The sequence below is a fragment of the Homo sapiens genome, chromosome 2, assembly GCF_000001405.40.
Source record: "Homo sapiens chromosome 2, GRCh38.p14 Primary Assembly".
NCBI classification, from domain to species: Eukaryota; Metazoa; Chordata; class Mammalia; order Primates; family Hominidae; genus Homo; species Homo sapiens.
Genome location: NC_000002.12, coordinates 60,667,680 through 60,690,596, shown reverse-complemented (window position 1 = coordinate 60,690,596; position 22,917 = coordinate 60,667,680). Strand labels below are relative to the sequence as shown.

At 45.5% G+C, this 22,917-nt stretch overlaps 1 pseudogene, besides 1 other annotated feature; it reads left to right on the top strand.

Annotated features, from left to right (window-relative positions):
• Nucleotides 7,306-7,913, top strand: IFITM3P9 (IFITM3 pseudogene 9; annotated as a pseudogene).
• Nucleotides 15,626-15,795: an enhancer, noted in NCBI's record as "active region_15816". NCBI's record gives its function as "activates an Ori minimal core promoter by ATAC-STARR-seq in GM12878 lymphoblastoid cells {active_cell/tissue: GM12878}" and the evidence as "EXISTENCE:reporter gene assay evidence [ECO:0000049][PMID:35858748]".

The following is a 22,917-nucleotide window of genomic DNA, read 5'->3' as shown; positions in this document are numbered from 1 at the left end:
ATGCATTAGGCATTTTGTACGTCTGTCACCTACATAGCTAAAGAAAGAGAGGGATGAAGGTATTAGTTAGGATACAATCTCAGGTGAAGGTAACAGAGCCCCAAAGTAACAGTGTGCTGAACCAGATGGAAGCTTATTTCTGTCTTGTGAAGATGGCCCAGGGCAGGTATAGTGGCTCTGATCCACAAGATCATGCAGAGACCTTGGCTCCTTCTGCCCTGTTTCTTTGCCATTCCAAGCAGAGGGGTAGAGGCAAGAAAAAGGGTGAAGGGATGACTTTTAAGGTATGACCAGATACTTTTAAGGGTATGACCAGAAATCACAACCCATTGTGCTCAGGATTTAGATTTATGGCCACACCTAGCTACAAATGAGTCTGGTTTTTATTTTGGATACCCATGTGTCGAGTTAAAAATTAGGGGTGCTATTATTTAAAAAGAAGAGAATAAATTTTGAGATGTTGTCTTAGCTGTTTGTGTTGCTATAACACAATACCTGAGACTGGGTAATTTATAAAGAACACAAACTTATTTCTCACAGTTTTCACAGCTGGGAAGTCGAAGATCAAGGTACCAGCAGGTTTGGTTGGTGAAGGCTGCTTTTTGATTCCAAGATGGCACCTTGTTGCTGTATGCTATGGAGGGGAGGAATGCTGTGTGAGGCTTCCTTTACAAAGGCCTTAATCCTATTCATGAGGAAGAAGCCCCCATGGCCTACTCACCTCTTAAAGGCCCCACCTCTTAATACTATCAATTGGCCATTGTATTAGTCCATTCTCACACTGCCATAAAGAACTACCTGAGCCTGGGTAATTTATAAAGAAAAGAGGTTTAATTGGCTCACAGTTTCACAGGCTGTATAGGCAGCATGGCTGGGGAGGCTTCAGGGAACTTACAATCATGGTGGAAGGGAAAAGGGGAAGCAAGCATGTCTTTAGATGGCAACAGGAGAGAGAGAGTAAGGGGGGGATGTGCAACACACTTTTAAACAACCAGAGCTCATGAGAACTCACTTACTATCATAAGAAAAGCAAGGGGAAAATCCTCCCCCATGATTCAATCACCTTCCACCAGGTCCCTCCCCAACATGGGGAATTACAATTTGACATGAGATTTGGATGGGGACACAGAGCCAAACCATATCCACCATTAAGTTTCAACAGCTGCATTTTGGAGGGGACACAGTCTAACCATAGCAGATCCAGTGAACCATCTTTGCTACCATAAAACTGTTGCTACTATAGGAAACAGAACAATTATTTTAAAGCAAATTTGGAAAACTTGAAGCCAGGGGGCTCTCAGGTGTGTGCAGAAACAAATCTCTCTCGTCCTCTTGCCATATTAATAACCCATGATTCCTTATGAGTTTTGGGGCTTTTAAGTGGACACCCAGAGCCAGCTATTGTCGGCTACTGCCCTGCATTAGCCCCTTGCCAAGCAAGCCAGGCCCTGGGGAATTCTACTACCATGGGAGATACACGCAGACAATGCTCTCTCTCTCCGACTACATGAGGTATTGCAGAGTGTATTAATTCTCTCTCTCTCTTTTTTTTTTTTTTTTTTTGAGATGGAGTCTGGCTCTGTCGCCCAGGCTGGAGTGCAATGGCATGATCTCAGCTCACTGCAAGCTCTGCCTCCTAGGTTCACGCCATTCTCCTGCCTCAGCCTCCCGAGTAGCTGGGACTACAGGCGCTCACCACCACACCCAGGTAATATTTGTATTTTTTTAGTAGAGACAGGGTTTCACCATGTTAGCCAGGATGGTTTTGATCTCCTGACCTCGTGATCTGCCCGCCTTGGCCTCCCAAAGTGCTGGGATTACAGGCATGAGCCACCGCGCCCAGCTGCAGACTGGATTAATTCTCTACGACTGCCAGTTATTTCCTGTAAAGAGGATGGTGGTCACACCCTTCTCCTGTAAACTTTATCTGCAACCACTTCTCGTTCTGATCTGATGAACAAAAATTTGAAAAGAAGTCAATAGAAAAACTAGGACACAACCATGGTGGTGTGGGAGGCACCACAGGAAGAGGAGTCAATGGGTTGGTTGGAGAAAGAAAGCTTCTATGAGGCCTCTGGGTGGCCCACGGAGAGAGAGGTGGATGTTAGGGAGAAAGAGAACCAAGAGAGGGGAAGAAAATGGATAATGAGGCCAGGTGTGGTGGCTGATGCCTGTAATCCCAGCACTTTGGGAGGCTGAGGCGGGTGGATCACCTGAGGTCAGGAGTTCAAACCAGCCTGGCCAACATGGTGAAACCCCGTTTCTACTAAAAATACAAAAATTAGCCAGGCGCGATGGTGCACGCCTGTAGTCCCAGCTACTTGGGAGGCCAAAACAGGAGAATGGCTTGAACCCGGGAGGCGGAGTTTGCAGTGAGCCGAGATTGCCCCACTGCACTCCAGCCTGGGAGACAGAGCAAGACTCCATCTTAAAGAAAAATAAAAATAAAATGGATAATGAGGAAAGAAAATAGGTTTCCTCCCTAATGAAAGTGAGGTAGGTCTGGGGAAGCTGTGAATCTCATGTATCAGAGAGGTTGAGGCAGGCATACATCTGAGGTGGCAGAGGCTACTAACCTAACATAAAGAGGACCCACAGAAAGATGGTAAGTGAGGCAATGCTAGGGAATTACAGCAAGAACAGTGGGAACAAGTGTTTCATGATATGGAGGAAATCCCAGGAAAACTCCCAAATGTTCAGTCTCTTGACATGCTCCAGCATTCTTCCCACTGGGACCCCAGTCCACCGACCTCCCCTCAATTACTCGCTTTTCTATGACCTCCTTGTCTCCCTTCTTCCCACCTTGATCAGTTTGGATTCCGTGGTTCATCCCTGACATCACACCTTGATATGACATTCAATTCACCTGCCTCTCTTTCCATCCACACTTCCCTGGCAAAACCCCAACTCTGATGAACTTAGCACCCCTCACCCTCCATTCCCTGCCTGCACCTGAGCAGCTAGCTGTGGCGGAAAAAAGCCCACATAGGATGGTGAATGTCAGGAGCCCACAGCCTCGTCCAGTTGTCCAGCTTATTGCCATGGTCAAGTTGCTCTCCCCCTTTGAAATGACTACCTTATAGCTTTTTCCTCTGTCATCAACCTTTCAATATCACCTCTCTCCTTCTCACTCTTAGCTGTTGGCCTGGCTCCTGTTGTCTCTTTTTATTTTTATTTTATTTTATTTTTAAAGTTTTTTTAAAAATTTTTGTCTTTTATGATTTTATTTTTTTGAGACAGAGTCTCGGCAGGGTGTGTTGTCTCACACCTGTAATCCCAGCACTTTGGGAAGCCGAGGTGAGGAGTTCAAAATGGAGTCTTGCTGTGTTGCCCAGGCTGGAGTGCAATGGCACCATCTCAGCTCACTGCAAACTCTGCCTTCCCAAGTCAAGCAATTCTCTGCTTCAGCCTCCTGAGTAGCTGGGGTTATAGACGTGTGCCACCACACCCAGTTGATTTTTGTATTTTTAGTAGAGATGTGGTTTTGCCATGTTGGCCAGGCTGGTCTTGAACTCCTGACCTCAAGTGATCCACCCGCCTCTGCCTCCCAAACTGCTGGGATTACGGGCATGATTTTTTATTTTTATTTTTTGAGATGGAGTCTCACTCTGTTGCCCAGGCTGGAGTGCGGTGGTGCAATCATAGCTCACTGTAACCTGGAACTCCTGGGTTCGAGACACCCTCCTGCCTCAGCTTCCCAAATAGCTGGGACTACAGGTGTGTGCCACTACACTTGGCTTGTGGCTCCTTTTTTCACGGAAGAAATAAAAACAATCAGCAGAGAATGATTCAGAATCTTCAAATGTACCTTCATTTGTAGCCGCCTATGCTCTGCCTCCTGGAGAGTTGCGATGAATGTCCCATCCTTGCTCCTATCACTGGCACTGTGTATTCCCTGGTCCACCCCTTCTTGCCTGCTTAAGGACTTGCTCCTGCAATCATCCCCTTGCTCTGTGTCATTGTCTGCCCCCCGCTACTGGGTTATTCCCATCAGTGTACAAATATGTGGCAATACTTCCCAGTTAAGAAAATACCTCCCTGGGCCCAGCATGGTGGCTCATGCCTGTAATCCCAGCCCTTTGGGAGGCCAAGATGGGAAAATCACTTGAGGCCAGGAGTTTGAGACCAGCTTGGGCAACATAGTCAGACTAGGTCTCTACAAAAGTAATGAAAAAAAAAAAAAAAAAAAAAAAGCTAGGTGTGCTGGTGCTCACCCGAAGCTGCAATGAGGTATGATTGTGCCACTACATTGCAGCCTAAAAAAAAGAAAGGAAGGAAAAAAAGAAGGAAGAAGTAAAAAGAAAGAAAGAGAAAGGAATAAACTAAGGAAATGCCTCTCTGATCCCATATCCTTCTCCAGCAACCATGTCTCTGCTTCTCTCAACAGCAACACTCCAAAAAATTCTGAAATGACATATTGGGTGGGACTTTCTCTGTGGTCCTGGAACTGATGATGAGGGCCAAAGTTGGAGACAAAGAAGTGTATTAAGAGATGGTTTAGGCCGGGCGCGGTGGCTCTCGCCTGTAATCCCAGCACTTTGGGAGGCAGAGACGGGCGGATCACGAGGTCAGGAGATCGAGACCATCCTGGCTAACACAGTGAAACCTCGTCTCTCCTAAAAATACAAAAGAATTAGCCGGGCGTGGTGGTGGGCACCTGTAGTTCCAGCTACTCGGGAGGCTGAGGCAGGAGAATGGCGTGAAACCGGGAAGCGGAGCTTGCAGTGAGCAGAGATCGCGCCACTGCACTCCGACCTGGGCGACAGAGCGAGACTCTGTCTCAAAAAAAAAAAAAAAAAAAAAAAAAGATGGTTTAACTGTCTCTGTTTCCCCCAGCTGTCACTTCACTTTTCCTATCACTCCTTAGTTTATATTAAAAAGAAAAAAATAGAGGGATCACACTGGCTGTCAGCCTAGTGGGGAGAGCTGTGCCCTTCGTTCTCCTCCTGTAAAGCAAGTGGGGGGTCCCAGAGATCCACCTGTGACTGCGAGTGGAGGAGATGATGTCCTTTCTCCAGCTGGGCATCTGTCTCCCTCTGCCCATCTGAGAGGGGGACAGGGGAGCTGGGGGGCGGTCAGGCAGAGCGGAGGCTGCAGCAGGCAGCTTGTCCTCCCTGTTGGGAGTGTTACGTTTTTGTGATTCAAGGAAACCCAGGGAAAGGTTTTGAGCTCACTGACCAGGACTGTCAGGGAAGAAGCGGGAGGGGAAGCTGAGGGGTTGGAAGAGGTCTGAGCCAAGGTCAGGTATCCCACCTCAGGAAACTGGCAGCAGGAGTTGAAAAGAACAGACTCCTCCGGGTCTACACTCCAACTCCAAAAGCCAGTTGCCTTGTGGGAGTGGGTGGGAGCGAGATTAAAATTATTGAGATTAGCACTTAAAATGGGATAGAGTTAGTAGTCGAAAGTCACCAGAAAGTTAGGAAATCAGCTCAATATTTCATTAAGTAACAGGAAAATGAAATTCAATTGGAAAGTGATTGAAAGCAACAATGGAAGAAAATTAAAGCTGTTTGCTGTCTATACCAAGTCCAGACTTTTCAATAGACCTGTTGCATCTTTACTTGTCTTCTCTCTCTCATCTCTTACTTTCTCTTTATTTTTTAAACATTAAAATTTATTTTATCAAAGCTGTACATGTATTGTTTTAAAACGTCATGTAACTAGTTATAAATATGTAAAAAAATTAAAATCGAACAGTTTTACAAGGCTTAGAATAAAAAGGAGTATCCAATTTCTTCCCCCCAAAAGCAACTTCTTTCCATTTTTAAACTGTTTCTTCAGGTTTTCTTTAACTCTATTTTTTTTCCCCAAATAACATATGTACTGCTACTTCTTGATTTTTTGGTTTTGTGTATTATATATTGACTTCCTGTTGTGGGGCATAAGGAATTGGTCTTTTTACCCTCTGTTTCTTCTTACCATCCTCCCAATATTTCTCTCTTCTTTTCTTTTCTTTTCTCTTTTCTCTTCTTTCTTTTTCTTTCTTTCTTTCTTTCTTTCTTTCTTTCTTTCTTTCTTTCCTTCTTTCTTTCTTTCCTTCTTTCTTTCTCTTTCTTTTCTTTCTTTCTTTCGTTCCTTCTTTCTTTCGTTCGTTCTTTCTTCTTCCTCTTTCTTTCAATGAGAAACTGGTCTTTTTACCCTGTTTTTTCTTATCATCTTCCCAATCTTCCCTCCCTCCCTCCTGTCCGTCCTTCCTTCCTTCCCTCCCTCCCTCCTGTCCGTCCTTCCTTCCTTCCTTCCTTCCTTCCTTCCTTCCTTCCTTCCTTCCTTCCTTCCTTTCTTGAGTCTCACTGTATTGCCCAGGCTGGAATGCAGTGCTGCAATCTCTGCTCACTGCACCCTCCGCCTCCCAGGCTCAACCTATTCTCCTGCCTCAGCCTCCCGAGTAAGCTGGGATTACAGGCACACACACCCATGTGCAGCTAATTTTTAACAGATATATTTTAGTAGAAATGGGTTTCACCATGTTGGCCAGGCTGGTCTTGAACTCATGACCTCAAATGATCCACCTACCTCAGCCTCCCAAAGTGCTGGGATTATAGGCATGAGTCACCAGGCCTGGCTGAGGTTCTAGTCTTTTGTTTGGGTGGTAGAGGGGCAGTCACCCAGCTGTGTGGGGGTGAGGAGAAGATCTAGGAGTCTTTTTCTTCCTATGAAGATTTTCACTCATTCCTGCTTTCATCTTCTAGCAACCTCACCTTCCCAAGTACTTGGTACCTTCAACTCCTGAAACTTCCTGAGGTTCTTTGGTATGAATGAGACCAATTCTTGCTCCTCTAGACTATAGATCCTCAACTTTCAATTTTCTTCAGGCTTCGGAGTCACTTACAACTCATACATCTACTTTTCTTTTCTTTTCTTTTTTGAAACAGAGTTTCGCTCTGTCACACTGGCTGGGGTGCAATGACACAGTCTTGGCTCACTGCTACCTCTGCCTCCCGGGTTCGAGGGATACTCCTGCCTCAGCCTCCTGAGTAGCTGGGACTACAGGCACACACACCACCATGCCCAGCTAATTTTTTGTATTTTAGTAGAGACAGGGTTTCACCTTGTTGGCCAGGCTGGTCTTGAACTCCTGACCTCAGGAGATCCACCCGCCTCAGCCTCCCAAAGTGCTGTGATTACAGGCGTGAGCCACTGTGCCCGGCCTCATCCATCTACTTTCTAGATTCCAAAATTGTATTGACATCTCTCGTATTCTCCTATCACTGCTCTCGTTTTCTCTGTTCCATAGGTTTATGCATTTTAAACCCTTTGTTGTCATTTTAGTGAGAATTCAAGGGGAAACAGAAATAAATGCAGCTGGAGAACCATCCCACCATCCCGACCACAACTGATCTTCCCTGGACACGATGAACCACGCTGTCCAAACCGTCTTCACTCCCGCCAACACCAGCCACCCCCTCAACTATGAAATGCTCAAGGAGGAGCATGAGGTGGCTGTGCTGAGGGTGCCCCACAACCCTGTTCCCCCGACATCCACCGTGATCCACATCCACAGTGAGACCACTGTGCCCAGCCATGTCGTCTGGTCCCTGTTCAACACTCTCTTCATGAATTGATGCCATCTGGGCTTCATAGCATTCACCTACTCCGTGAAGTCTAGGGACAGGAAGATGGTTGGCGACCTGACTGGGGCCCAGGCCTACGCCTCCACTGCCAAGTGCCTGAACGTTTGCACCCTCATCCTGGGCATCCGTGTGACCACAACACTCATCATCCTTTTCACCAGTAGTTCTATGATAATATTCCAAGCAATTTCTCAAATGATAAAGAATCTCCAAGGCCAGCAGTAGCGCCCAGGTACTCGCTGTCCATTGCGGGCCCTGCACCCTGGGCCTGAGTTCTGTATCAGCCCTTTATTCTCACACACTTTTCTACAATGGCATTCAATAAAGTGCACGTGTTCCTGGAAAAAAGAAGGAAAGAAAGAAATGCAGCTGTTCAGTCCTCCACATTCAGCCCAGAGGTCTTTATACTCTGAACCCACTTCAGCCAGACTTTTATCCCTGCCACTTTGCTGAAACTGTTGTTATCAAGGTCAAAACTTTGCCTAATCCACTGGTCAATTCTCAAGCCTTATCTTACTTAAATTCTCAGTAGGATTTGATACGATTAATCCCTTCTCCTTGAAGCCCTCTCTGTCTTTCCTGAAGTCTCGGTATCTTTTTCTGGCATCTCTTTCTTACCTCTAACTGTTGTGTGCCCTTGGGCTCAGTTCTTTTCTTTCTTCTCTACTTACATTCTCTTGGGTGACATACGGTCATGTGGGTTTAAATACCATCTATTTGCCAATATCTATTGGCTGTCCATATCTGTGGGTTCTGCGTATATGGAGTCAACCAACTGTGGGTCAAAAATATTCAGAAAAAAAATGTGTTTGTACTGAACATGTACAGACTTTTCTTGTCATTATAGCAAGAATGACAATTAAACGATAAAGTATAACATCTATTTACATAGCATTTGCATTGTATTAGGTACCATATCAGTAATTTAGCTATGATTTAAAGTACACAAGCCAGATGCAGTGGCTCATCCCTGTAATCCCAGCACTCTGGGAGGCTGAGGCGGGTGGATCGCTTGAGGTCAGGCGTTCAAGACCAGCCTGGCCAACATGGCAAAACTCTGTCTCTACTAAAAATACAAAAGTTAGCCAGGCATGATGACATACTGAGACATAGTCTCAGCTACTTGGGAGGCTGAGGCCGGAGAATAACTTGAACCCGGGAGGTGGAGGTTGCAGTGAGCTGAGATTTGCACCACTATACTCCAGCCTGGGTGACAGAGTGAGACTTTGTCTCAAAAAAAAAAAAAAAAAAAAAACTACACAGGAGAATATGCATTGGTTATATGCAAATACTACACCATTTTTTTGTTTATTTTTGAGACTGTCACCCAGGGTGGAGAACAGTGGTGCAATCATGGCTCACTGCAGCTTTGACATGTCTGGCTTAAGCAATCCTCTTGCCTCAGCCTCCTGAGTAGCTGGAACTACAGGCGTGAGCCACCACACTGGGCTAATTTTTATATTTTTCACAGAGATGGAGTTCCGCCATATTGCCCAGGCCGGTCTCCAACCCCTGGGCTCAAGTGATTCTCCCACCTCGGATTCCCAAAATGCTGGGATTACCAGGTGTGATGAGCCACTGCACCTGGCCTACTACACCATTTTGTATCAGGAACTTGAGCATCTGTGGATTTTGGTATCCCCAGGAGGTCCTGGAACCAATCCCCCTGGATAACATAGGCAATGGTACATATCTTCAGCGCCAACCTGTGCAACACCCTGGAGCTTCATACTTGCATATGTTTACCCATCTATCTGAGACTTCCCATTGGAAGTCGAATAAGTGTCTCAAATTGGATCTCTTCAAAATAGAACTTGCTTTTATCCTTCAAATCTCCTACCTCAGTCTTCTCCATTTCAGTATATACTACGAAGATTCACCTAGATTTTGCTTGGGTTGAACACCCAGAGGTCATCTTTGGTTAGGCTATTCCCCTGACACCTACATTAATCCAATGACATCACCCAATTTCATCTCCAAAATATATCTTGGTTGGTCAGGCACAATGACTCACGTCCATAATCCCAGCACTTTGGGAGGCTGAGGTGGGCAGATCATTTGAGTCCAGGAGTTCAAGATCAGCCTGGGCAACATAGTGAGACCCTAAAAAATTAAAAAAAAAAAAACACCAAAAAAAAAAAACCAGCAAAAAGAAATCCAAAACAAATCTTGGTCAAACGACTTCTCTTCTCACCATGTCCTCTGCTGCTCCCCTAGTCCAAGTCACCCCTCTCTTACCTGGACTCCTGTCATGGCTCCTGTCTTCTGATTTTTCTGCCATCATTCTTGCTCCTTTCCCATACCTGCAGTCTATTTTCTGCATAGCAGTGAGAGTGTTATTTATTTATTTCTTTAGTTAGTTATCATTTTAGAGACAGAGCCCCACTCTGTTGCCTGGGCTGGAGTTCAGTGGTGTAATCAAAGCTCACTGCAGCCTCAAATTCCTGGGCTCAATCCTCCTGCCTCAGCCTTCTGAGTATCTGGGACCACAGGCGTGAGCCACCGTGCCTGGCTGAGAGTGCTCTTTACAAAGAGCAAGTCAGCCAGGTCACCCCTACTCACAGCCATCCAATGGCATCCATCACACTCTGGATGAAACCACCTGCTTACCAATGCCTACAAGGCTTAACAAAGACAGGTCCCCACCTCCCTCTTAACCTCACTCTCACACCGTTCTGGTCACACCAGCCTTTGTGCTTTTCCTTGACATGCCCAGCTCTGCCCTTCCTCAGATCTTTTTGTTTCTTCTTTTGCCTGATGCTTTCCTTGCAGATCTTTATGTCATTCACATATCTGCTTAAATGCCATCTCCTCAAAGAAGACTTCTCTGGCTATCCCACCTAAAAAAAGCTCCTTTCCTCATCAGTCTCCATCTCCTTAGATAGCTGCCTGCTTCTGGCCGAGGGCAGTGGCTCACGCCTGTAATCCCAGCAGTTTGGGAGGCGGAAGCAGATGGATCACTTGAGGTCAGGAGTTCGAGATCAGCCTGGCCAACATGGTGAAACCCCGTCTCTACTAAAAATACAAAAATTAGCCAAGCTTGGTGGCGGGTGCCTGTAATCCCAGCTACTAGGGAGGCTGAGGCAGGAGAATCACTTGAACCCAGGAGGCGGAGGTTGCAGTGAGCTGAGATTGCACCACTGCGCTCCATCCTGGGTGACAGAGCGAGACTCTGTCTCAAAAACAAAAGAAAAGAAAGGAAAAGAAAAGAAAAGAAAAGAAAAGAAACAAACAAGATAGCTCCCTGCTTCCTTGAGGTCTTCATTCCCCTGGAGAAGGCTCCTCCAAGTAATGACCACCGTGGCCATTGCCAAGGAAAAGGTGTCATCATGACACCTGGTGCTGAATATCCCACCAGACAGGATGAGTGCCTAGAAAATCAATGTGGCATTTTTTTTGTATCCTGAGTTTATAAAGCGAAACTCACACCTGCTGACTAAGAGAGCTCTGTGGTCAGAGTACATGTCCTCCCTGTATTTTATTTTATTTTTACCATTGTCTGATGTGAATTGGCCAGAGCGGGTAAGACAGAGGAAGGGTGACCTGCCTGTATTGTAGATTTAGGGAGTGCAGAGGGACATTCTGTCGGGAAAATGTGTGTAGACTGGGAAGGACATGCCAATCAGGAAAGAGCCCATAAAACTGACTTTTGAAAAAGTTTGTATAAGACCAGACCATAATGACTTCATCTTCTGGCTCTACTAATTCTCTTCTTGGCTTCACACTGAGATTCAGATTAAGCAGCCGTTGACTCGAGCCAACTGCAGTCAGCACTGGGGGACTTGGACATTGGTTGAGTTTGGAGAGACACCAGCTGCGGGAAGGAGGAATTTCTGCCACACTCCTATTTCGGGGGTGTACTTGTGCTTGAGGAGCAGCCAGGATTTCTCTGGGATCTTTCCTTGAGAAGGGGCTGCAAGAACCCAGATCCCTAGCCATGACCTGGCCAATGAAGGCTGTCAGGACGGGGAGGATTCAGTCCATCAGCAAACAACTTCTCAGCCAAGATGGAGAGTACACGTATTGAGTGCAGACCATGTACCCTGCAGGTGCTATGTAATGTGTTCTACCTGTGTGATCACAGAAATCCTGGCACTGGTCCTGGGAGGGTCTATTTTGCTACATTACCCCAGTCATTTACTCATTCATGTAACAAACACTTACTATGCACATATATGTTCCAAGCATTCTTTTTCACTCCTGAAACTGTGGTTACAAGGGAGAAAAAGGCCAAGTGATTGCTTTTATAGGGCTTATAGCCAGGTGGCGGGGATGCCAAGTAGACAAACAAATACACGAGACAAGGTGATAAAAGCAGAATCATGGCCGGGCACGGTGTCTCACTCCTGTAATCCTAGCACTTTAGGAGGCCGAGGCAGGTGGATCACATGAGATCAGGAGTTCGAGATCAGCCTGACCAACATAGAGAAACCCCATCTCTACTAAAAATACAAAAACATAGCTGGGCGTGGTGGTACATGCCTGTAATCCCAGCTACTCGGGAGGCTGAGGCAGAAGAATTGCTTGAATCCAGGAGATGGAGATTGCGGTGAGCTGAGATCGTGCCATTGCACTCCAGCTTGGGCAACAAAAGCAAAACTCCGTCTCTAAAAAAAAAGCAGAATCATGAGACAGGTCAGGGATTGTCCAAGTGTGGTCCACAGACCTCTGGGAGTTCCTAAGACCTTTTCAGGAGGTCCAGGAGGTTGAAACAACTGTATTTGCACAAAAATATTGATATGTTATTTGCCTTTGTCACTCTTGTGACATAGCGGTCCTCAAATTGGCTTTCTGGGCAGGGGTCATGAATGTCACTCTAGGGAGGCACAGCCCCAGGCCTGAGAAGAACCCCAGAGACTTAGTGAATCTGTCTCTGGGGCATCTCTCCTTGTAATGGGGCTATGAGCTGATGCCCAGGCTCTAAGGAGACAGTGCTGGCTGGTGCCACCCAACAGGAGGATTCATCCTACTCTTTGAATCCCAGGAAGACTCTCCTGGGGTTTCAGCTCTTACTCCCACTCTTACAATCATAGGACTCGCATGAGGAGCCTGGGAAGTGAAAGCTGGGGCCATGTGTGACAGCAGCTATGAGAAGCAGAGAACTCTCAGGCCCCAGTCTGCAGCCCCAGACCTCTCATGCCAGTGCTCAGGGCACTGAATTGTCATGACTTGGTTTCTCCTGGCAGAATCGCGGGAGGCACAGAGTTGGAAGTTGGATCACTCCCCAAATGAGTTGTTGAGGCTCCGTGTGACATGATGACGTTTGCTGGGCCACTCAGCAAATTGTTCCCCCAGTAGACCTGCCTCACAGCTCAACAGTCTGTCAGCTGCGTTTATTGGGAACCTGCTAGCAATGTGAATTGGTAGGCAGTCCAAGCACTGCAGTAGCAGTTCCCAAGAGTTGCGGACTAAGTTATCTATCTATCAAATCCTGTCTCTCTGTTGACATCTGGGAAAACCAGGTGACACCCACACACCTGAGGCCTTGGCAGCAGCCCAATTCAAGGTTGCAGTTTTTCTTTAGTTACTTTCTGACCTTGGAGTTTGAGAATGTAGGTATTGGGCTTTGCTTCTGTTCAAACTGCATGGATGTTTCAAAGTCTAAGCGTTTGAAAATTAACATAGTCAGATGTACATACACATTCATTACACGTGTTCCTGGGTCACTTTCAGCAGGACCTAGATTGATCCTTGCATAGTGACTGATCACGGAGCACTCACTTATTTCCACAGGCAGAAGAAACCTGTCCAGAAAAAACCCCGAGCATACCACTGGATAAAGGTTTAAATGGGCTTTCTGCCAGTGAACTGCATTTGATAGTTATGTGGGTGCAGCCCATGGCAAGAATCCACACAGCTCACAAGAGATCTGTGGGGCCCTGGGATGTTGCAATGTCACTCTGTCTGGGTAAGTGACAGCCAGGATGTGGGATTTGGTGATTATTTTTGGTTTGGTTTGTTTCTAGCTCAGAAGAAAGACTATATATAACATTGAGAGAGGCATAACTTCCAGATTGTCAAGGTTGGTGCTAATAGTGAATGATATACTAATATATGTTACATGGAATCACAAGCTTGCAAGAGCAACGCTCATGTACAAGATGAAAGGATAAATCTTCTGTTGTGTAATGGGAAAAGAAAGCTGGCAATGTAAATGCAGTCTTAATGTTTTTTCCAGCATTGCATGTGTAATTAGGCATTCAGTGACTTCCTCATCTAAGGAAATTTGACTTTAATGGCAGCTATATAGCTAACTATCGAAGGAGTATTTTGAAAATTCAGGGGTGAGGATGGGAAGGTATTAACTGTAAAAATGTATTATATCCTTGGCCTTCAAACAAGACAAAAGAAAACAAACAACTCCGTCAGCACCAATCTGCCATCATGTAAGCTGTGTAGATAGAAGTTAGACTCATATTCTGAGCTCTTGGAAATTAAGCCAGAAACAGAATGGTCAGATAATTTTTATCCACTAGCGCGCGTATGTTACATTTTGATCATTTAAGATTCCCCCTGCCAAAGGGCTCTGTTTCATGAATGCAATTTCATCGGTGTCTGGAAATTGCACAGTTTATGGTGCAGTCTCATGATGTCTTGGGAAATTAAGGCATAACCTTGGGTAAATCCAAAGTTCATCTTTAAAAAGAGAAAGGCCGGGTGTGGTGGCTCACGCCTGTAATCCTAGCACTTTGGGAGGCCGAGGCGGGCGGATCATGAGGTCAGGAGACCGAGACCATCCTGGCTAACATGGTGAAACCCCGTCTCTACTAAAAATACAAAAAAATTAGCCGGGCGCGGTAGCGGGCGCCTGTAGTCCCAGTTACTCGGGGGGGGTTGAGGCAGGAGAATGGCGTGAACCCGGGAGGCGGAGCTTGCAGTGAGCCGAGATCGCGCCACTGCAGTCCGGCCTGGGTGAAAGAGCGAGGCTCCACCTCAAAAAAAAATAAATAAATAAAATAAAAATAAATAAAAAAATAAAAAGAGAAAGTTTCAAATGCAGAGTTTAACCAAAGCTGATAGAATAGAGTCCCTCCCCATCCACTGTCTCTACCCACAAACTTCCAGAGAATCACAGGGCACAGCTAGGAGCAGTGACAACCTGAGCCAGCAGGACTGTTCGATCTGACAGCAGGTAAAAATGTTTGCTGGAAACCAGTGCAGGAAAGGGTTAGGAAATTAAAGACAGAAGCTTGAGTTTAAAGATTGGACACCACGGACAGGTCTCAAAGGCAACTTCTCACTTCCCAAGCCCCAGCTCTCCCTGCGTGGTTCATCTTCAGGACGATCTTCAGAGGTCACCCTCTTAGATAGTGGCACTCAGTCACTCCCTATCATATTTGTAATGTAAATGGCCAGGGTCTCTACATGGTTTCAACACACAGGGCTACACAGTTTATTAGAGAAATGAATTCTTTCTTACCAATAATGATTTAAAAAACATTGTTTTGGGAGAAAATACATCTACTATTCCTCTCCAGGCATTTTACAGAAAATATTTTGAGCTGTCAAAAGGGGGCATCCTTGCTTTTCCAGACAAAAGAAATCATTCGAATTTGCTCTTTAGAGCAGCCTTGGCGGGAGTGGTGGGCAGCAAGAGTGCTTAGTGATTCTAAATAGCAAGGGTGTGCTTAGTTAAGGCTACAGCTGAGGGTGTGGACCCCGAATAACTACAACCCTGCTACTCAAAGGGTGGCCCTAGGCAGCAGTAGCAGCAACACCAGCAGCAGCAGCAGCTGGAAGCCTGTTACAGGTGTGGGCTATCAGGCCTCAACTTGGACCTACTGGATCAGAATCAGGATTTAACAAGGTCCCAGGTGTCCAGTTGAGCATCTCCACATTCAAGATGCACAGCTTCCTAGCTGTATTTCTCAAACTTCCTCCGGGGAGGGGAGACAAGAATGTGGAGCTTGTTACACACAGATTCCTGGGCTTGCAACTGTTACCTACTGACCCAGAATTTGCAGCAGAGAAGCCTGGTAATTTGTATATTTAACGGATGCCCCACAGGATACAAGTCATGAATGAAGTGTGAAGAACACTACAGGATACCTTTACGTTTTTGAAGTAAATATATAATGATCTAAAAAAGAAACTGCTTCTTCCAGAACACATTTTCCCTTTGAAAAGATGCAGTCTCCCTTTTCCTTGCCACCTTCTCTCTTAAAAACACTGCTATCAAGAGGGAAGAGGGAAGCAGAGGAAAAGTGCGAGAACAGCTCCTGGGGTGCAGCAGGAGAGGCCAATGCCTGGGGACTGTGGGAAGTGGGACGTGGCCAGCAGAGGGCAGCAAAGCACGTCCTGCATGGGGACCTGCGTGAGCACGGTGTGGCCTGGCGGCAAGATTGGAGTGGCCTTCTGCTACTTGCTTCTGGGGCTTTCTGGAGCTGTTTGTGGACCTCAGGTCTGACACTAGGCTTGTCAAGTCAGTGGGGGGCACAGTAGACTCTGCCAGGTCTGAATGGGAGCCAGGTAAGGTCTGAGCCAGCACAGCCCAGTAGAAATACAATGCAAAGTACTTAGGTTATTTAAACTTTTCTAGAGGATACATTTTTATTTATTTTGTTTATTATTATTTTTGTATAGAGAAGTAGTCTTGCTACATTGCCAAGGCTGGTCTTGAACTCCTGGCCTCAAGCAATCCTCCTGTCTTGGCCTCCCAAAGTGCTTGGATTACAGGCATGAGCCACCATGCTGGCTGAAGCTTTTTTTTTTTTTTTTGAGGTGGGGTCTCACCCTGTTGTCCAGGCTGGAATGCAGTGGCATGATCATGGCTCACTGCAGTCTCGACCTCCTGAGCTCAAGCAATCCCCTGCCTCAGCCTCCCTTTGCAGCTGGGACCACAGGCATGCACCACCATGCCCAGCTAATTTTTTGTTTTTTGTAGAGGCAACATCTTACTTTGTTGCCCAGGCTGGTGTCCAACTGCTGAGCTTAAGCAATCCTCCATCCTTGGCCTCTGAAAGTGCTGGGATTATAGATGTGAGCCACTGTGCCCGGCCCGAAGCTACGTTTTTAAAAAGTAAAAGGAAATGGGTGAAATTAATTTTTATAATATATTTTATTTAACCCAATATAGCCAAAATCATTTCAACATGTAGTTAGTATTAATATTGTTAATGAAACAGTTTATATTCCATTTTCCCTCCACTAACTCTTTGAGGTTCTGTGTATATTTCAGCACATCTCAATTCTGACTAGCCACAGTTCCAGTGCTCAGTGGCCACACGTGGCTGGTGGCCACCGTATTAGACCGTACATGCCTAAGAGTATATCTAAAGCTGGGAAAGAGGGGAAATTAGGACCAGAAATGGGGAAAGATTAACGTCTGGCCTGGGGACAGATTCTGGTGTTTTTTTTGTGGTGGTTGTTGTTTTGTTTTTGAGACAGAGTCTCGCTCTGTCACCCAGGCTGGAGTGCAGTGGCGCGATTTCGGCTCACTACAGTCTCTGCCTCCCAGGTTCACGCCATTCTCCTGCCTCAGCCTCCTGAGTAGCTGGGACTACAGGTGCCCCCCACCACGCCTGGCTAATTTTTTGTATTTTAGTAGAGATGGGGTTTCACCATGTTAGCCAGAATGGTCTCAATCTCCTGACTTCTTGATCTGCCCTCCTCGGTCTCCCAAAGTGCTGGGATTACAGGTGTGAGCCATCACGCCTGGCCGATTCTAGTGTTTTTGTACATAAATAAATATTCACCAAAGAGCTACGTTTCAACTCTTTTTTTTTTTTTTTTTTTTTTTGAGACAGGGTCTTGCTCTGTCACCCAGGCTGGAGTGCAGTGGTGTGATCACAGCTTGAGGCAGCCTTGATCCTCCTGCCTTAGCCACCCAGGTAGCTGGAACTACAGGCACAGGCCCCCATGCATGGCTAATTAAAAATTTTTTTTGTGTGGGGATGGGGTCTCCCTGTGTTGCCCAGGCTGGTCTCAAGCTCCTGGGCTCAAGCCATCCTCCTGCCTCGGCCTCCCAAAGTGCTGGGATTACAGATGTGAGCCACTGTGCCCAGCCTTCAGTTCATTATTGAGCATCTACTATATGCCAGCAGTTGGGCCAGAGGCTGGAGATATATAAGCCATCAAACACAGTCCCTGATGCTGAGGACCTGGGTCCAGAGTAGTTGGGAGACAGCATGGAAACAGAACCTTTCAAATCCCTAAAACACCCACCACAGCAAGTCCATGGGCAGGCTCTGTGGTGGACCCTGGGACAAATCGTTAGACCCACCCTGGAGGACAGACTCTGAATGATAACTAAGTCAGAGGCTTTTGTTGGATTTTATTTTTCCTTTTTCATAATCATTTCCAGATTTACTTAGAAGTTGTCTGAAATACACATTTGTCTGGAGAAAGAAAATCTGGCTGAGGTGAGAATCCCTAAGCTGGCTCTAAGCTTCCCTGAAAGGAAAGGCCAATGTATCATCAGCTAACTGTCACACAGGAATCCCTTCTGGGGCATCCCCTGGACCTTTTACCAAAGGTTGGACCCACCACATCCAAGGTCTCTTATTCCCCCATCAGTGCTGTGCTGTTCTAGGTTAACGCTATTTTGGGAATGCAGTTCTTCATTTCAGTGTGAATTTCCTCATATTTCTGCACAAATTGAGTGAAATCCTTGGTGCATTTTTTTTCTTAGATGGATGGAAGCTAAAAGAGAATGGAAGGCCTCCAGCTGTTTGAGGCTCTGTCCTCAACGACAATCAAAATTCTCCATCTTTTCTTGTTCTTGGCACTTTCTGATTGAAATAAGATTCCAGCATTTATCTGCACCTGCAATTTTGACAAGAAAGGAAAATTTAAAAGACAAGTGAAAGAATTCTCTGAGGGAAGTCAGTGAGTCGACAGTAGTCAGACGCCTCCAAATCTCTTTTTGCATTCCTCCGTCAATTAAGCTACAGTCACATATTGGAGAGCAGAACTTAAGTCTGTGAGTAGAAATGCAAAAATGTGTGTCGATCAGTAGCTGGAACCTTCCTCTGGAGCGAGTATTACTTGGAGAGCAGCTGATGATCCATTTGGCATTGAAATGGAGAGGATTTTGAGTCAAAGAGGCCACTTTAAATTATAGATTTGAGTTTAGTTGAAGGTCACACTTAACTTGCATGAATAAAATCTTCAGAGATTTTGGAATATACTCAGAAAATGCAGGCAATCCTGAGCACATAAGCATTTCCTTCAGGGGGTAAAAGCAGTTTAATATTATTGCCCTCTGCATAATTATTGATCATATTAGCATAGGAGATACTGAAAGGGAAGGCAGAGTAACCGTCTGATGGACACCTTGATTCTCAGCAGCTACGACCATGAACTTGGACAGGAAGTTGCCTGGAGACCTGGGAAGATTGTAAAGGGAATTTGATAGTGACCATTTCATTTTGGCTCAACAGATGACAAAAGTGACCCACTGAGAGGGGAAGGTTTATTTAGCTAATCTATATGACATAAATAAATTCCCACACCTAGGAATTTGGGAATCACCTGCCAAATGTTGATTTGATTATCTTGATGTGTGTTTAACCTGATTCAAAGCTTCCTGGTAGCCAAGATGAAGAGGGAAATGTGAATTATAAACTCATCATTTGAGAGGAGAAATGTACTCAACTTTCGAAGGAAACTAGGACATTCATAAAGAAAATTGCAAACATTAAAAACATTTGATTTGGCGGGGCACGGTGGCTCACGCCTGTAATCCCAACACTTCGGGAGGCTGAGGCAAGTGGATCACCTGAGGTCAGGAGTTTGAGACCAGCCTGGCCAACGAGATGAAACTCCGTCTCCACTAAAATTACAAAAAAATTAGCCGGGCATGGTGGCGGGAGCCTGTAATCCCAGCTACTCGGCAGGCTGAGGCAGGAGAATCGCTTGAATCTGTTAGGCGGAGATTGCAGTGAGCCGAGATGGAGCCACCGCACTCCAGCCTGGGCAACAAGAGTGAAACTGTCTCAAACAAAACAAAACAAGAAACATATGATTCATAGTTGTAATATTCTTTCCAAAGGCTATCAGTTCACAATGCAGATTAATGATTAGGATTTAGGAAATTATAAATGTACTTCAGAGGTTTTTGAACCTGTTAATATGAATTAACTTGCAGAATGTCCTGATTCCTCCCCCCAACACTAATCTAAAGCCTATGTTTTTCCCCTGTCGCTTGCTGTGTTAATTGGATCACAGAGATAATTCCCCTCCCATAAAATGTAATCTCTGCAGGTTTTGGAATCTACATTCTGCCGCATTTTATAGGATTATCTCTCAAAGGTAACAGATTAGAAGCCCTGGATGGTGAAAATAAACTGAAATTTGGGCTGTAATCCCTTTCAGTGAGGATGGGGATGGGGGAGGCTTCCAGGTTCTAATGAATGAGAGAATGCTAGATTGGCAGTCTGTTTTTGTTTTGTTTTGTTTTGAGACAGAGTCTCACTCTGTGGCCCAGGCTGGAGTGCAGTGGCGTGATCTTGGCTCACGCCAACCTCCACCTCCCAGGTTCAAGCAATCCTTGTGCCTCAGCCTCCTGAGTAGCTGGGATTACAGGCATGCCCCACCACGCCTGGCAAATTTTTATATTTTTAGTAGAGATGGGGTTTTGCCATTTTGGCCAGGCTGGTCTCGAACTCCTGACCTCAGGTAATCTGCCTGCCTTGGCCTCCCAAAGTGCTGAGATTACAGGGGTGAGCCACTATGCTCGGCCTATAGTCTCTTTGTTCCCTCCCTCCCTTCCTTCCCTTATTGCCTTCTTTTTTTTTTTTTTTTTTGATAGGATCTTACTTTGTTACCCAGGCTGGAGTGCAGTGGCTTGATCTGGGCTTACTGCAACCTCTGCCTCCCAGGCTCAAGTAATCCTCTGACGTCAGCCTCCCGAGTAGCTGGGACCACCATGTCCGGCTAGACTGGCAGTCTGAACACCTGACTCCTAGTCTCTGTATAGCCACCAATTAGTAGTATAATTTATGGCGCTATTTCTCTGAGAGTTCTCTGTGACTCAGTTTCCCCTGCAAAATGAGGAGGTAGTACTAGATCAGCATTTCTCAAAATGCAGTCCAAGAAAAGCTAGTCTTTTTTTTTTTTTTTTTTGAGATGGAGTCTCACTCTGTCACCCAGTCTGGAGTGCAATGGCACCATCTCAGCTCCCTGCAACCTCCGCCTCCCGGGTTCAAGCGATTCTCCTGCCTCAGCCTCCCGAATAGCTGGGACTATAGGCACGTGCCATCACACCTGGGTAATTTTTGTATTTTTTGTAGAGACGGGGTTTCACTATGTTGGCCAGGCTGGCCTCGAACTCATGACCTCGTGATCTGCCTGCCTCGGCCTCCCAAAGTGCTGGGATTACAGGCGTGAGCCACTGCACCTGGCTGAAAAACTAGTCTTTAAAATGTTAATAGGTATTCCATGAATGAAGAACTAAAGGTCAGGTACATTTGGGGAAATCTACATGCCATCATCTCGCAGTAGGGCATCACAATGTCCATTAGCACATAATAGGCTCAGAGTCTTGAAGCAAATAAGTGCAGTTGCGTGTGTGTGTATATAGAACACACACACACACACACACATATATATAACATTTTTCTTCTTCTTCATTTTTTTAATGATATGAGGTCTCACTATCTTTTTTCTTTTTTTTTTTTTGAAATGGAGTCTTGTTCTGTTGCCCAGGCTGGAGTGCAGTGGCGTGATCTTGGCTCACTGTAACTTCTGCCTCCCAGATTCAAGCGAATCTCCTGCCTCAGCCTCCCGAGTAGCTGGGATTACAGGTGCCCGCCACCACACCTGGCTAATTTTTTTGCATTTTTAGTAAAGACATGGTTTTGCCACGTTGGCGCTGCTAGTCTCGAACTCCTGGGGGTCTCACTCTCTTGACCAGGTTGGTCTCGAACTCTTGGCTTCAAGTGATCCTCTCGTCTTGGCCTCCCAAAGTTCTGGGATTACAGGTGTGAGCCACCCTGCCTGGCCTATATATAACATTTTTTTAAACAAAGGAATTTTCAAACTTATTTTGGCTTTAGAATCCTTTTTTGGAAAGAAAACATTAACTTCCAGAATACTCTTGGTAAATGTTGAACTAGATCAGGAGTTCTCAAACTTTTTGTTCTCAGGACTCTTAAAGATTATTGAAGACTCAAAGAAGCTTTAATCTATGTGAATTATTCCATTGTTATTTATCATATTAGACACAATAAAGGATACATAAAAATGTTAATTAATTTTTAAAAAAACACGATGTGGCCGGGCATGGTGGCTCATGCCTGTAATCCCAGCATTTTGGGAGGCCAAGATGGGCGGATCACGAGGTCAGGAGATAGAGACCATCCTGGCTAACGCGGTGAAACCCCGTCTCTACCAAAAATACAAAAAATTAGCCGGGCCTGGTGGCAGGCACCTGTAGTCCCAGCTACTCAGGAGGCTGAGGCAGGAAAATGGCATGAACCTAGGAGGCGGAACTTGCAGTGAGCCAAGATCGAGCCACTGCACTCCATCCTGGGTGACAAAGCGAGACTCCATCTCAAACAAACAAACGAAAAAACCCCACAATACATGTTAATATAAATAACTTTTTTCAAAAAGTAACTATTTTCAAAAATAAAATTGAGAAGAATGGTATTGTTTTATATGTTTGCAAATATCTTTAATGTCTCATTTTGTAAAAGGCATCCAGATTCTCGTATCTGTTTCTGCTTTTAATCTCTTGTGAGATGTTTTGCTGAAGTATATGAAGAAAATCCAGCTTTATAGAGCTATAAAATTGGGAAAGGGACTGGGCATGGTGGCTCATGCCTGTAATCCCAGCACTTTGGGAGGCCAAGGTGGGTGGATCACCTGAGGTCAGGAGTTTGAGACCAGCCTAGCCAACATGGCAAAACCCCATCTCTACTAAAAAAAAATTAGCTGGGCGTGGTGGTGGGCACTTGTAATCCTAGCCACTTGGGAAGCTGAGGCAGGAGAATCGCTTGAACCCAGAAGGTGGAAGTTGTGGTGAGTCGAGATTGCATCACTGCACTCCAGCCTGGGTGACAAGAGCAAAACTCCATCTCAAAAAAAAAAAAAAATAATAATAATAAAATAAAATTGGGAAAGGAAGAATTCAAATAGTTTTTTTGTGTAATTGTGGGTGCACTTATTTGATACTACATCAAAATTTAATAAGGTTATAGAATGTGGAATATGAAATGTTATCAATGAACTTTTCAGTCTCTGTTCCATGAAACCCATCAGCCTATCCTACTCTTTGAATGGATCTTTCACTCATTCATGACTTTTTTTTTTTTTTTTGAGACAGAGTTTTGTTCTTGTTGTCCAGGCTGGAGTGTAATCACATGATCTTGGGTCTCTGCAACCTCCACCTCCCAGGTTCAAG